Here is a 16,234-nt window from a genome sequence, read left to right as displayed (position 1 = left end):
GAGGTATTCTAGAGTGACCCAAACATTCTGAAAAGTTCGATGAAATCAATTGCTTGTGTAGACCATTGATTCTCAAACTCAATTACTTTTCTACACTACCTGAAGAGCTTTTAAAAATTAAATGTTTCTAGGCACCCCTACAACTGTAAAAATATAGATGAATTTGTATTTTTGAAAAGTTCACCAAGATTATTCCTAAATTTTTTAAAGTACACTCAGGCATTGCTTAACAACAAGGATACTTTCTGAGAAATGTGTCATTAAGCGCTTTTGTCATAACATATCATAGAGTGTTACTACACAAAACTAGATGGTATAGCCTACTACACATATTGCTCCTAGGCTACAAACCTGTTACAGCATATTACTGTACTGAATACGATAGGCAGTTGTAACACGTAAGTATGTCTGTATTTAAACGTACCTAAACATAGAAAAATTACAGTAAAAATACAATATAAAACATAACATATTGTACACCTGTATAGGGCATTTACCATGAATGCAGCTTGTAGGACTGGACAGTGCTCTGGGTGAGTCAGTGAATGAGAGGTGAGTATTGTATACTACTGTAGACTTTATAATAAACACCACAAACTCAGGCTACACTAAATTTATAAAAAGTAAAGTAATAGCACTACAATGTTATGACAGCTACACCACTACTAGGCAATAGGAATTTTTTAGCTTCATTGTAATTTTATGGGACCACCATCATATCTGAGGTCTGTCCTTGATCAAAATGTTGTTAGGCAGTACAAGACTATACAGTAACAGCATTGAGATAATATAGGAAGATGTTCATATTTCTAAGATGTAAACTGAAGAATGAAGGGATGAAATTACAAGGATGTTTGGGATTGAAAACACTTCAATAAAGAACAAAATGTCAAAGGAAGTATGGAACAAATGTGAAAAACATAAATAATTGTTGAATCAGAGTTATAGGTATATATGTTATTGTATATATACTATTCTCTTTACTTCTGTGTATATTTGAAAATTCTCATTTAAAGACAAAGCTTCCTGGATGATCTGATCATCATCCAGATTTGGATCCACTGTGTAAGCAAAATGGCAAAGTGATTGATGACATTGTTTCATTTTTATTACGCTATATTTATGGCATTTAGACACAGCCTAAAAACAAAACAAAACAAAACTATTGCTCCAGTGGCTCAACTTGTTGCCAAAGAAAGTGAAAACACAACTTAAATGATGAACTATTTTATATACCAAGTGGATCACATCAATTGAAAATATCAACTACAAGTGATAGCTTTAAAGTTAACAAAATATGATCTTACTGCTGTTTTAAAGATATCTTACTTTATATCCTCAGAATTCTCCAAAGTTACTACTATTCAATTAACAAACTTTTTGGTAAGAATAATGATCTCTTCATTAGACTGTCTCCACCCCTTCCTTCATCTACTACACTGTTATTAATCATGCACAATGCATGCAAAATACAGTGATTATTTTGCCATTAAAATGTTTCCATTAAAGGTTCAAAATTCACTGTGAATAACTGGATTAAAAAAATGCAGGTTAAGTCTTAAAAACAACAAAGCCAAACTTTTTGGTAAAAGGGGTCACTGGGACATAACAAAACTAGACGGTATAGCCTACTACACACCTAGGCTATATGGCATAACCTACTGCTCCTAGGCTACAAACCTAGGAGTGATGCATCCTTTAAAATTAGGTCTTAGTTGAGGTTTGGTCTAGACTACAATGTCTAGACTAAAATACAGTGTAACTACAATGTAGACTATATTTTAAAATGACTCAAGTAGCCTTACAGAAAAATGGTAAGGGGTTCTATTCTTCCAAAGCAAATGATAATTAAATGTTAAATGATCATTTAACTTTTTGTTACTTTCTATAAAAAAGCAGCAACTTGTTAATTATTAAGACAAGGAACTATCCTTCTTCTCTTAGTGAGAAAACTTCCCAAAGGAAGGAAGCCTGTGTCATATTAGGAAAGTATGCCTTAAAAATACTAAGAAAAATTTAAAAATTAAATAAACTAATACTTACACTTGGTCTTCTTTTGAGTCTTTATTCTGAAAAATAACATAAGAATTAGTAATCTATATCAACTATATCAAAACAACATACTAGTAATATAATTACATTTAGGTCAGTGTTTCTCAAAAAATTTTTGATCATAACTAAAGAAATATATATCATGATGTCATATGCACTTATGCATATACTTTTATACCTAAGTATAAAACTGAAATATAAGTTCCATGAAATAAAACTTACTCATATTGTATGTGATGAACTCTAGTATTTTTTTAATTCCTATTTCCTTTTTTTAAAACGGCAGTTGTGATCTACTAAATTGGTCTTATTATCTACTACTGAGTCTTGAAACATGACTTGAAAATCACTGATTCAGATGATAGAGGTGAGTATTGGGGCTGTGTCTGTACGTATTCATATACCTTTAGACACAATGTATATAATTCCAATTTATTTCTACACTACAAGCGTTCTTGAAAACCTATATATAAGGAGAAGTCAGACTGATACGTTAAGAATCTCACAGAAAAAGAAGTGTTAAGAAGATCACAATTTGAAAAAAATCTTAAAAGCCCTAAATTTTATGTTCATTAAAATAAAACTATAAAGGCAACATACCAAATAAAGGTAGTATCAATGGCATTTAACATATTAAACTAAGAGTATTACAGTATTACTTTCTACCATCTCTTGCATACAAGAAACTTCAGGGTCTCCTTCTCTACAGATACAATGCTGTATATACAAATTCATTTAGCTTTCTTGTCTGTATACTAAGATTTTTGTGTTTCAGTGTCTGTCCTTATGCTTAATATCCAGTACCAATTTGATTCTATGATTTAGAATTCTTGACTCCTGCCTTTGCTCTAGTGTACTTGAATACCTGAGTTGAAAAGACTTTTGGTTGTTCACAATAAACACATCTAGCATAATGGATTATTTCTCAAATTCCCTTTTGGCTCCTCCCATGACAACTTTATGCCAATGAATATATCAGCCATACGAGGCTTTTTTATATCCAAAAATTTGAGAGCTTGAGCATTACCATATTTTAATTTTATGGCAGTAAAGGCAAGACACACTATATGCCTTTGCAACTTAGTTTGGTGGTTTGACAGCTGTGAATTTACTTGGCCAGTTTTATGTAGTATTAGACCCATGACTTACCAATACTTTGGCAAAAATTAAAAATATCATCAAAATAACAAATTAGTTTGTTTTATCAGATAAGAACTGTCTAAAAGTCAGGAAAAATCTCCATACTCATGTCTTTAAAAAATAAAATTTAACTTTCATAACTTTTAAGTAAAATGTTATAACAAATGATTGTTAAATATAACAATGATAGTGATATTTTACTTATCAGATTCGATATGAATTCTTTTTTAAATCTTGACTTCGTGTTTTACAAATTTATCTTCATTGTCTTAAGTTTCATTAATGATTACAATTTGTTTACACTTTCAAATGACTAACAACATGGGCTCACCAGATTGTGGTTGGGCAAATATTCTCACTCAATTTATAATATACAGAATATATCAAGATTTTAAATATATTTTTCAGGCTAGAAAACAATTTTTTTCACCACAAAGTTGCATAACATGGTGGTTAGCTATATGCTTGATTAAAAAAAGACATGTGGCTTTCCCTTATAGTTTTCCTAGCAATTAAGAGACTCACTGGTAAAACTGTGCTAGATACTGACTTGTTCATTTTGCAACTGACAAAATCAAAGAAGCAGCAACGCAAGAAGTTTGTATTTGTACCTTTTTGTGCACATTATTGCATCTTTGGCATAGTCTCAGACATAAAGAAAAAAATCAAGATTTCTTAAAGTTTTGAAAGCTGCTTCTAAACATATCAATAAAGACATGACAAAAAGCTGTTCTTAAAACAATGAGTACGCATTTTAAAAATAAGTGGTATGTAGAAATTAATGAAATTTCCATGTGACTAATTCAGTCTATATTTATATATGCAAATATATAAATTACAATTTAAGGACGTGAAGTATGAAATTGTATTTCGTACTTCAAAATCATTCAGGATATAACATATGTAGACTTCTCTATAATCATATACTCAGTAAGCTATTGAATCATTTGTGCTATATGTCTACTTGAACTAATTTAAGTTCTAACAATGAATTCATGTATTTAACTCAAGTGTTCATAATCAGTATTATAATGCTATTATAGTCTCTTACCTTTTTATTCTTAGTCTTCTTCTTTTTCCTTTGTTTACTCTTAACCTAGTAGGTAAAAAATTATTTATTAAATATGTAATTCAAATTGCCCAATGGGTTATTTTGCAAAATATATTTCCTCTCACCACTGAGATCTTTTGTTTTCTAATATTATAGGTATTTCTTTCTAGATTCTATGGAAACAATTATTTTTGTTTTTATCATTTTTATTTTAATCCTAGTCTTCTGTCCTTAAATAATCACTGATGAATAAAGGAACAACACATAATGTCAATAAGTAGGTTACTGATAAAAGTTCACAGATGCTCACTTACACACATGGATGTAACAAAGGAGGAAGACACTTTTTAAAAAGCAACATATTCATGCCTATAAGATGAAAGATCTAAGGATAATTTAGTGACTATATAATAACTGTTACCACTTATTTGTAAAGAAATACGGAGATTCCATTCTGGACGAATTTCATTCTACCTCTGCGCAAATGGTTTTGAAATATCCCACTTTTCTCTTCCTTTCTTTCCTCTCTATTTTAGACTATACTTTCTTCTACTTTCTAATACCTTCCCACATCCACTTCAACTGGGATTAAAAAAACATATTACAGTCTAGCATAATGCCTGCCACATAAGTGTTTAAGAAATGGTGGCAAAATAAATGGTTATGGCAGGAAAGATTATGGAAGGAAGTACTGAGGCAAGGAAGGAAAGGACCATTCCAATTCAAGCTCTGTATAAACACTATGAAAATATAAGCTAAAATTATCTGGGATGCTTTAAGTACAGCACATGCAACAAATTAAAGGCCCAGAATAAGTTCTTCTAACTCAAATATTAATGAGAGCTTATACTTCCTGGAGATCTTTAAGAGATTCTGTTGAAGATTCACTGGGTATTGAGGTCCCATCTTTATTAATTTCTGCAAACTGTATCTCAGGGTGTGATTTCACATTTATATTGTACTCCATGAGAGGTGGACTTAGTTCTTCTTCCTCATTCTGTAACTCTTCTATTTCAATACCTAAACATAAAAGACAAAATTCTCAAAATCTAGATGAAAGCAATTTCAGCTTCTTATCAATGTTATAATGTTTGCCCAAAAAAGCAACATTCACAAAACAGAAATAAAATATATCTTACTCTTTTCAATTACTCGATGAAAATGTGATGTTCATTTATCAGTTACCAAATAATATGTACAAACACCAGCCTGGAACTAATCAGTGTGAACCTGAGTGCTATGTTACCTACTGGAATCTTAGGTAGACTCTAGATATTAGATACTCTAGAACATAAGTAGACTCTAAATACTAACTTTTTGCATGTCCTGACCTTGATCCTATTAATAATGCAACTAGTATTATTTTAGCACATATATCTGAAATATAAAGAAAAAGAAGACAAAAGATCTATTTTTTCTGTTTTCTTTTTCATAAGAGGGGTGTGAGCCCCCTATTATGTGACCTTTTCTTTGAGACTTTGCTCCTTGATATTGCCCCAGAGACTCAGTCTCAAAACTTGTGGACTTTGTCTGACTGGTCTCCAGAGAGTCCAGCATTTTATCCCAAACAAATCTGTGGTGGTGTTTTTTTTAAGTATAATTTTAATTGAATAATATTAATTACACTTAAAAAAAATAGCACAAAAATGGAAATTAAACAATTACAACTTATCACCTGGCAAAAAAAGTATATAGCTATAAACAATAGACAGACTAAATAAAGTTATACACGCTAAACACCAAACAGAGAAAGCAGGAAGGTATTTTTGCCTGCTGAAGTTTTTGTGAGTAAAACGTTAGAACATCATCCTTGGGAAAACCCTGAAGCACATGCACTAAGCCAAAGGCAGAATAAAGCTCATTCTCGATTCAGCCAGACCAGTGGTGATTTGATCACATCATTTTCCAAGTTCTTTTTTTTTGAGACTGAATCTCGCTCTGTCGCCCAGGCTGGAATGCAGTGGCGTGATCTTGGCTCACTGCAACCTCTGCCTTCCATGTTCAAGCAATTTTCCTGCCTCAGCCTCTTGAGTAGCTGGGACTACAGGCACCCGCCACCACACCTGGCTAATTTTTGTATTTTTAGTAGAGACGGGGTTTCACCATGTTGGCCAAGATGGTCTCGATCTCCTGACCTTGTGATCCACCTGCCTCAGCCTCCCAAAGTACAGGGATTATAGGCGTGAGCCACTGCGCCTGGCCCAAGTTCTTCACAATTATAGTTTATCATTTAGTTTATCTGAACAAATAAAAATTTCATAGGTATCCCTTGTTAAAAAGTCATTTACACATTTTATTTCTAAATATACTTACGCTGACTGCCTGTTATTGACTGTAGAGCAATTCCTATAATACATAAAGAAAAATTTTAGATGTACAATTGCAAACGCAACAAATGAATGTCTGGCTAGGATTAAGGCAGAATATTTTTATATTGCACCAATTTATTCTGTAAGTAACTGGAAAAATAACCAGCTTTGCTCATCAATCCAGTTTAGACAAGGCACAATCTTTAGATTATCACATAAAGGTTATAAACCCATGATTAGAGAAAAAAAAGTAAACAAAAATGTGGTATCACAGATAAAGCCTAGAACACAAGCACTTTAAACCAAGCAACGAATATTTATGTTTACCATCTAAGGCCATGAAATAATAGTTAATTACACAGCAAACCTCCACTGAAAGTTGGGACCTATTTTTAGCAATCTGATTTATCTGATCATCACTTGCTCTCCTTGCCCATTAATATTTATTGAGCACCTACAATGTACATCAGGCTGTGTTAAGCTCTAGAGATTGAATGGTGAAGAAAAAAAAAGACAATCTTCATGGAGATTTAGTGGGATGATGGATGTTAATCAAATTATCAGATATCCAAATAAAAAGCAACTAGAATAGCTGAGGAAAGAAATATAAGATGGTAAGAAAGCCTCTAGTAAAGGGACTTGACCAATAAGCTCTTCAGTGTACTTGAGTAAGAACTGCTTAAAATGCTTTGAATTGAATGGGTGCTCAAAACTCTTTCTCAAATACTCTATTCTCATGAATTATTTAAAATCCTAATAGAGTAAATGTATTTTTTAAAACCCTAATTTATAAGTCAAAAATTCTTGCCTGACTTTCTTATATATCAAACTCAGTGTCCTCCTCTTTCATTCTTAGATTATGCAAGAAAACAAAGGTATTCCAGAGCCTTAGTAAATACCAGGACTGAAATTGGGCACATCAATTATCTCTGAAGAAAATCTGGACCAGTTCACTAGAAACTTTTACAGTTGTATGTTTATATAGCATCAGTGTGGTTATCAGTTGTTCATTAGGCTGTAAATAACTTGAGACCAGGAAGTCATCCTGAATAGCACAGCAGGGTTTCAGAGATGTTGTCATGCCTTGAACTCTGCTTTCCAAAAGAATAGCTGAGAAGGTATCCTGAGATGTGGGAAAGGAGGTCTGAAGTCTTTTCCGTATCAATAGACAAGTTTGGGAGTGGCCAATACAAACACTTGCATGAATGTTACCTGATTTTTAAAATTATCTACAGCCAATGAATAGCTGCTAAAATTGTAAACTAAACAAGATTCTGCTAGAAAGTAGAAGAAACATACATCCACACTGTGTCTAAACGAACATCTTTGAAACCACACAGTACTTACATGTCATGGTTTTAAACTTTATTAATTTTGGAGAATAAAACTCCACTTAAAGTGATAAAACTGTACTCAAAAGTCTTCAACAATTTCTTTCTGAAAAATGCAGACTCCTTAATGTGACAAAAAAATCCTCTTGAATGTACTCTATGAACTCTCCCCTACTTTAATCTCAATGAAGCCAACATTTTTTAGTTGCCTGCAGTATATTTTTATGTTTCTATACCTTTATTTTTGTTTCCCTCTGAAACATTCTTCTCAGTCTGCTTCACCTGGCTAACTTCTGCACACCATTAATAGTTCTTTAACTATGATACTCTCCAGAAAGCTTTTTTGGACTTCTTTAGCCTAGGATTTCCCATGGTATTCTGGAAACATCTCTAGCACTATAATTTCTATTACCTTCCTGATGAGTCCATTTTCCCAAAACCATGAGCTCACTGAATCTCTTGCCCTTTGCACTGTGCCTGGCACAGAGCAGACATTCAATCAATGGAAGTTTATTGGCTGAAGTAAATAATCATTTAGTACCTTGTTGATAGCAGGATAACATCCTCTGTATGATTTCTGGTACTGGTATGCCTAGGTAGACAGATAGCTGATGGTAATCAAGGGAGATATTCTCAATGGGATTCTCCTTCACTTTGTCAATATCCTCTTGCATCATCCCAAGGCGCAGAAGAATATCTGAAACTTTTTTCCAAATTGAATTGAACTGTGACTCAGTGAGACCATTCATCAAAATCTCACTAAGGAGGATATCCCTGTATTTGCACAGTCTCAGGATGTCTGCAGATTTAGAGATGTCAGAAGATGGCGGTTCCATATTCCATCCTTTTTTGGGTGCAGGGAACACATTTAAATGTTTTATAAGAGCTAACAGGAGGCATAAGTCAAACTGTTTGGATTGCGGTAACTCCTTGTTAGGAGGATAAAGCAGATGCCATGATCCACCCAAAGGATGATTGGTCCAAAGATGGTTGTAGTAGGATTCCAGCACATTCTTGTGTATAAGAAGCTCTTTTTTCAAAAGAGGAGGTGGCATAGCCTCATCAAATATTTGTCGAACAATGTCAGTACCAGAAATAATAATTATATGAAGCAGATGATAGAAATAATTATAATCAAGCTTGAAGATAGGCATTTCATCTGAAAATAAATTTTGAGAAGTCAAGACATTCCACATTAATGCTCATTTTCTATTTGGTCTCTCACATTGTATCCTAAGCTCCTGTAGGATAAAAACTATTCCAAAAGAATGAAGGATAGTACAGTGCTTTGCCACAGCCAGTGCTCAATTAGCATGCTGCTTTCTGCCTGTCAAAAAACCTAAACAAAAACAACATGTTCCCAAGCAAAAGTAATAACAAAGACTAATCACCACAGAAGTCTTTCAGTCATCCAAGGTTTTGTTCAAGTAAATGACCTTTAGCAACAACATGGCATCACAGTATTAGGTCTTTAAAAATTCTGAAATTTGCCAAGAATGCTAATTGTCAATGTCTAACTATACTTTACTTAAACAATTATACTTTATCCTAATCAGCACTGCCCAATGGAACGTCATGTGATAAAATGTTTTATATTTGCACTAATACTCACTGAGCATTGGAAATGCGGTTTGGGTGACTAAGGAACTGAATTTTAAATTTAATTTTAATTAATTTAAATTTAAGTAGCCACATACAGCTAGGGACTGCTATACTAGATAGCTCAGATCTATATCAAGAAATGCCAAAAGATCTAGCTCCTTGCTACTCAAAGGGTAGCCCAGAGACCAGCAGCATCAAGCATCCACCTGAAAGCCTGTTAGGAAAGCACAGTCTCAGGCCCCACTCTAGACCTACTGAAATCTGCCTTTTAACAAAATTGCCGGATATTTCAAATATATGTATAATGCTTGAGAAACTGTGATCTAATAAACCTCATCTTCTCACCCCCTCAAAAAAAGATAAGTAGGTATTTCATCAATAACATGGAATAAGGCATGAAACTGAACTATTTGGTATTTTCCTGTTTTAACAGTGCTTTCAAAGGAGAAAAGTCGGCTGAAGTGAATTAGAAAGTACTAATAATTTAGTATATAATGGCATTTGGTGTTATATGGATATCAAAATATGTGTTTGTCACAAAATGCAGCCTTATTATTTTATCCTTCAAGATTCTATGTTTCAAGAGATTTATTAAATTAACGTTTTTGCTTGAAATACTTGATATACATTGTGGAGGCAAGTTAAAAAGCTAATGACACAGGGAGCTTTCTTTGGGTTACCAAATAAAAAGTTGGCTGGACTGCCACCAAACTATTCTTCTATGGGCCCAGGGTCCCTTAATTAAGGCCTCCAGGTTCTGGGCAGGACATTTCCTAGCACACTCCTAAGAAGCTGGCAGCTTAGTTTAGATTACTTAGCCTCAAAACTTGGCCTCAAACTCAAAATGTTCATTCCTTTCATGTAAGGGTACTCTAATGCTTGCTCTATTAAGAAGGAATGCAGCAAGGGAAGGAACAGTTGGTAGAAAACCTCTGCTGGAACACAATCCCACGGTATAGTCACAGCTATGCACCAGACCTAGCATGCCTCTCTATAGGATGTCAAGGTAATGTGAGATCCATAGATGTGCTGATCTTCCTGTCTGTGATTTCCAGCCTACACCAAGCGCTGCTTGCTGGTATAAACCCAAGCTCAGTGAATGACAAACACAGTAAAGACGTGGTTGTTAATGGCATGAAAGTTGACAGAGAAGTCAAAAATTTTAACATACTTTTCAACAGAAGGCATATAAAAATAAAATAATACCTTTTGTATTAAATTTTAAACTGATCTTCGGTCTTATATCAGTATCAGTTATTTTCAGAGATATCAACTTTCTATAACTGCAAAAGGAAAAAAATTAAGTTATAGTGGAAATAAAATAATACCAAAGTCAGTCAAGATTTCTAGTATGAGCATGGCTAAGTGAGTATTTTCATCTTCTCCTAGAAATAATTCAAGAAGGAGAAAAAATAATGAACAAATAGAGCTCACCAACAATGAAAACCCTACACTGTCACTTTCATTGGAATTATCAAGTAAGCAGTATTGCCAGATTTCATACTAAAACTATCACATTACAAACTTCCTTGCAAAAAGGCTGTGTGGTAGCAGAAAAAAAAGGAAAGAAAGCTTTGCATTGTAAGACAAAAAAAGCAAGCAAGCAAACAAAAAAATAGCAAATCTGGAAGTCCTCCCTGGCCCTCTCTTCACCATATAATATTTTTGGCAATAACTATTCCAAGAAACCCCAACTCATTTAACACCTACTGATTAAAAACAATAAAGATGCTAGTAGAACATCAATACAAATAATTAGAAAAATAAAAAATAAAGTAGCAAAATGTATTAACTAGACTAAGCACTAGGTAAATGCTGCCGTTAAACAGATGGCTTGGCTTTGAAATGAACCACGGAAAACAAAACAAAAAAATATTGGACAACAACGCTACAATGTAAGCTTAATGAGGAAAGGGATTTTGGTGGTGGTTGTTATTGTTAACTGATTCTATCTCCAGTACCACTATAACACTGTTAGTTGCACATTACATTGAAAAAATGTAAAACTCTGACAATATGAAGTTATTGGGGAAGATACTGAGTAAAAGGTATCTCCCATACTGTTGGTGGGGAGTGTACATTTGTAAAACCACTCTGGAAAACAATTTGGCAAAAGCTAGTAAAGTTATAGATATACACAGGTGGCCTAGCAATTCTACTTTTAGGTATATATTCTGGAAAATTTTCTGCTCATATTGACCTAGCGACATGTACAAGAGTGTTCACTGCAAAACTATTGTTATAGCCAGGACCTAGAAATAAACATCTGTTAATGGTAGAATAATTAAATTAGTGAAGCAATAATATAAAATTAGAGCAATAAAAATGAAAACACTACAACTATAATAGTAAGAATGGAATCACACTAAATATGATTTTAAAATGCATAAAACAAATGTTTCCATATATAATGTTCAAAACAGAAAAAATTAAACTACACTTATAAGTAACAATATATTATGTAATTTATAAAGTAAGTAGAAGTAAAACATATGAAAACAATAGCACAAAAGAGGGAAGAAATGGAAATCTATTATTGCAAGGTTCTTACACTATACATGCTGTGGTATAATTATTTTAAAATAAACTTTGACAAGTTAAAAATATGTATTGTAAGTCCTCAAGCAACCACTAAAAAAGGGTAAAACTAATAAACCAAACCAGAAAATAAACAATAAAGACAGATAGGGAAAACTAAAAACAACAAGGAAGACAGTAGATTTCCAACCATATAAATTAGTAAAGAAAATACAAATGGAATAAAAAAAAAACAATTTAAAAGCAGAGATTGTCATATTGTATATATAAAACAACAAAGACCTATGCCACCTACAAAGAAATACATAGGTTGAAGTAAATGGATGCAAAAGGATATACCATGCAAACACTAATCAAAAGAAAGCTGGAGTAGCTATATTAATATCAGACAAAAAACACTTAAGGCAAGAATATTATCAGGGTTAAAAAGAGATGTTAAGGCCGAGCATGGTGGCTCATGCCTGTAATCCCAGCACTTTGGGAGGCCGAAGAGGGTGGATCACGAGGTCAGAAGATGAAGACCATCCTAGCCAATGTGGTGAAACCCCGTCTCTACTAAAAATACAAAAATTAGCTGGGTGTGGTGGTGTGCACCTGTAGTCTCAGCTACTCAGGAGGCTGAGGCAGGAGAATCACTTGAACCTGGGAGGTGGAGATTGCAGTGAGCCGAGATCGTGCCACTGCACTCCAACCTGGGTGACAGGGCGAGACTCCGTCTCAAAAAAAAAAAAAAAAGGATGTTAAATAAGAATAAAGGAGTCAAATTGTCAAAAAAAAAAAAAAAAAGGTAACAATTCTAGATGTGTGTGTAGCATTTAATAAGAGTTTCTAGATATACAATTAGACAGTAGACAAAAAAAAAATGAATAGTATACTTCAACATTCCCTGAGTAACTGATAGAAAAAGTAAATAATCAAAAATGACATAGAATGCTGAAACAGAGCTGTAAACTAATTTCATCTAATGTACAGACTATTTCATTCAAGATCAGAAGACACATTATTTACAAATCCAAGTAGAACATTCACCAAGATATACAGTAGTATGATCATAAAATAAATTATTGCAAAGGAATTAAACTAAAAGTGAATATCTGGAAAGAGAGCTGAAATATTCCCAAACATTTGGCAATTAAACAAATACTCCTAAAGAGCCCATGGTTAAAACATACACACACACACAAAACTAGAAAACATTTAAAATACACTGAAAATATTAATAATAAATTTCTACACATCAAAACATATGGGGCAGCTAAAGCAATGCTTAATGTAAAATCAGTTTATAAAGAACAAAGGTCTCGAATCAATGATCAAAACTTTCACCTTAAAAAAAAATCAAAGCAAATTAAACCTAAAGCAAACAAAAGTAAGGAAATTACAAAGAACAAACATCAATGAAATTTAAAACAAAAATATTATAGAAAAATCAATAAAATTAAAAGCTGATTCTTTGAAAAGATCAACAAAATTGATAGACTTCTATCCAGAATGATCAAAAAAAAAAAGACACAAATTGCCAACATTAGGAATGAGAAAGGTGACATCGCTACAGAGAAAAGGTCTCTTTGGCTGAAGAAACCAGAAAACTGAAATGGAACCATGACTACTAAGAGAATGGGGGAATCCTATAAGTGGAAGTAATCAGAAAAGAGATCCCCAAATTCTTTCCCACAACGTCTCTGACTGAACACTGAACCACATATGTAGAACAGACTAAAAGCAGCTCAACTAAGGCCAAAAGATCTGGACTGAGACTGGATCCACCACCCAAGAAAGTGTTCAAAGTTCATATCTAGCCAAATTAGTGGCCTGTCAAAATAAAAGTAACATTGCCCATTGGGGAATAATGGAATCCAGAATCTCTACTTTGTATTTATTGTGGCCTAGCTATGTGCCAGATATTATGCTATGTGCTAGGAACATACTAGAAAACAAGATAAAGTTCTTGCCCTCATGGAGGTTACACTCAAATGGAGAAGACAGCCAAGAAAGTGTAATAAACGTTAGTAAATGTTTTGATAGAAATAGAGGAAATACATGATAGAACATCTACTGTAATCTAAGTAAGGCTTTTCGAAAGCTTTAACTAGACAAAGGAGCAGAGTATTCCAAGCAAAGCTTGAAGGTCAAATAGTAAACTAGATATACTTCAATGTGATAACTTGGGAGGTTTCTTGAGATGGCACACTGAAGAAACCAAAAGAAGCTCCGTATAGTTGGTACATATATGGTTAAGAGTACAGTGACAAGAGATGGCACGAATGAGTTCAGCTGTGTACAAGGTTAAGTGAAGAGCCAAGCTAAAGAATCTGAACTTTATTTTAAGAGCAATGAGAAGCTTCTGAAAGATCTTCATGAACAGAAGTTATATATTCCAATTTTTGTTAGAAAAGTCCTATTGATGGTTAAGAAAACAACAGACTGGATAAAGTAAAGGCTAAAGACAGTTTTAAGAAGCTGTTTGAGAATTTCAAACGAGAAATAATGATATCCTCATTTAGTTTAGTGAAGTGGTAGAGACAGGGTAGAAATAGGAAGAAATTTATATTTTAAAAACTAAATTGGCCGGGCACAGTGGCTCACGCCTGTAATCCCAGCACTTTGGGAGGCCGAGGCAGGCAGATAATGAGGTCAGGAGATCAAGACCATCCTGGCTAATATGGTGAAACCCTATCTCTACTAAAAATACAAAAAAAATTAGCCGGGCATGGTGGCAGGTACCTGTAGTCCCAGCTACTCGGGAGGTTGAGGCAGGAGAATGGTGTGAACCCGGGAGGCAGAGCTTGCAGTGAGCCGAGATTGTGCCACTGCACTCCAGCCTGGGCAACAGAGCAAGACTCCATCTCAAAACAAACAAACAAAAAAACCTAAATTGATAGGACTTTTTAAAAAGTTACAAAGCAGTGTTAGAAAGAAAGATCATGAGTCCAGTTTTGGACATGCTGGATTATAAATATTTTTGAAAAATAAAAATGGAGATACTCAGTATGCAGGTAGGTATATAAGGTCAAGCTTTTAGGAGAGAGATTTGTGCTAGATATAAAGATTTGGGCTTCATTAACTAATAAGGGAAAACTGATGCTTTAGATGTCAATGCAATGTCCCTACTAGATTGAAAAATGGCATTTACACGTTAAACAGAAGAAAAAGAGAATCAATTGACTGGGAAAACTTTTATATTGAAACTTCTAACTTCAGTAGCAACACTCTATAATACCGCTATTAATTCTAGCTTTATCAAATATATTACTCTGCAATACAGTTTTCTCATGTAAGAAACAGGAAGATTCTAATTGTAAGACAAGCTTAGTGGTTTGGATAAGTTTTGAAAGATAGAAAAGTATTTCATAACAAACTAACTTTAAGAAAAATATGTTTGTTTAAAGAAAAGGATTATTTTCATATTTAATGGGAAAGTATTCACATAATTTCTCCATCTCCGCTTTAGAATGTAAATGTCTACAATAAGTGGTGATAGAGAGGGAAAGAAATGGCAATTAAATATGATTTTTTCACATACCTTAAAATTTAATGCAGCTCTATTAGGTGACAGAAACACAGAAGAATTAAGCAACCAAAAAATATATGCATATTCCAAAAAAGGTAACAGAGTATTTTATTTTAAGCTTACCTTGCTCCTAAATTTTCAATGGTGATATATTCATCCTTTCTCACAACTTCAAACTGCAAGTAATGGGGAAAAAAAATAGCCCTAAAGTAGTTCAATTTTCAAAATGTTTAATGTTATTTCTTAGCTTAACATTTGAAACATACAATGAGAGTGAAGCCACAGTGAATATAAAACAAACAAAACATGAATAACAAGGTAAGTAATAAATAATCCTGATCAAAAAAACGAACTAGAGTTGACCTTAAAAAAGCAGTTCTACTTTATATCACTATAGGATTTAAATGCCAAATCTGAAATACAAAAATAGCACATTTTACAATAAAGAAATAAGATACATTTCTAGTCATAATTTGGTCTATTTAGTTATGAACCAAAAATTCAACAAGATATTTCATTAATTAAAACATAAAATGGATATCATCTGAGTGCATTTTATGTAACAGGTACTATATGTGATGTTCTGTAGATACCTTCATAGGAGGATATTTACAGACTAAAAGAGGTTCAGAAAGTCTAAAATTATTTTTAACCTTAGGTGTCAAAGGATTAATTATCCTTAGTTCACGATATTTTCCTT

General features: G+C 33.3%; 1 protein-coding gene across 13 annotated transcripts in view; it reads right to left on the bottom strand.

Moving 5' to 3' along the window:
• DZIP3 (DAZ interacting zinc finger protein 3) overlaps positions 1-16,234 on the bottom strand; it is a 105,331-nt gene that overhangs the window by 41,635 nt on the left and 47,462 nt on the right. For 10 of the 13 annotated variants that reach the window (XM_005247917.4, XM_005247914.5, XM_005247918.4 and 7 more), the window contains 7 exons: positions 15,658-15,710; positions 10,692-10,768; positions 8,425-9,042; positions 6,557-6,589; positions 5,094-5,263; positions 4,244-4,288; positions 2,044-2,069 (listed from right to left, as the gene is read on the bottom strand). In XM_005247917.4, coding sequence (XP_005247974.1) covers positions 2,044-2,069; positions 4,244-4,288; positions 5,094-5,263; positions 6,557-6,589; positions 8,425-9,042; positions 10,692-10,768; positions 15,658-15,710 — 1,022 coding nt within the window. Of the gene's footprint in view, positions 1-2,043; positions 2,070-4,243; positions 5,264-6,556; positions 6,590-8,424; positions 9,043-10,691; positions 10,769-15,657; positions 15,711-16,234 lie in introns of those variants that run through there. The other 3 variants (XM_047449256.1, XM_005247919.5, XM_047449258.1) reach the window with 2 other exon arrangements.

Source organism: Homo sapiens, chromosome 3 (genome assembly GCF_000001405.40).
Source record: "Homo sapiens chromosome 3, GRCh38.p14 Primary Assembly".
In the NCBI taxonomy this organism is placed as follows: domain Eukaryota; kingdom Metazoa; phylum Chordata; class Mammalia; order Primates; family Hominidae; genus Homo; species Homo sapiens.
This window is presented reverse-complemented; position numbering and strand designations above follow the sequence as displayed.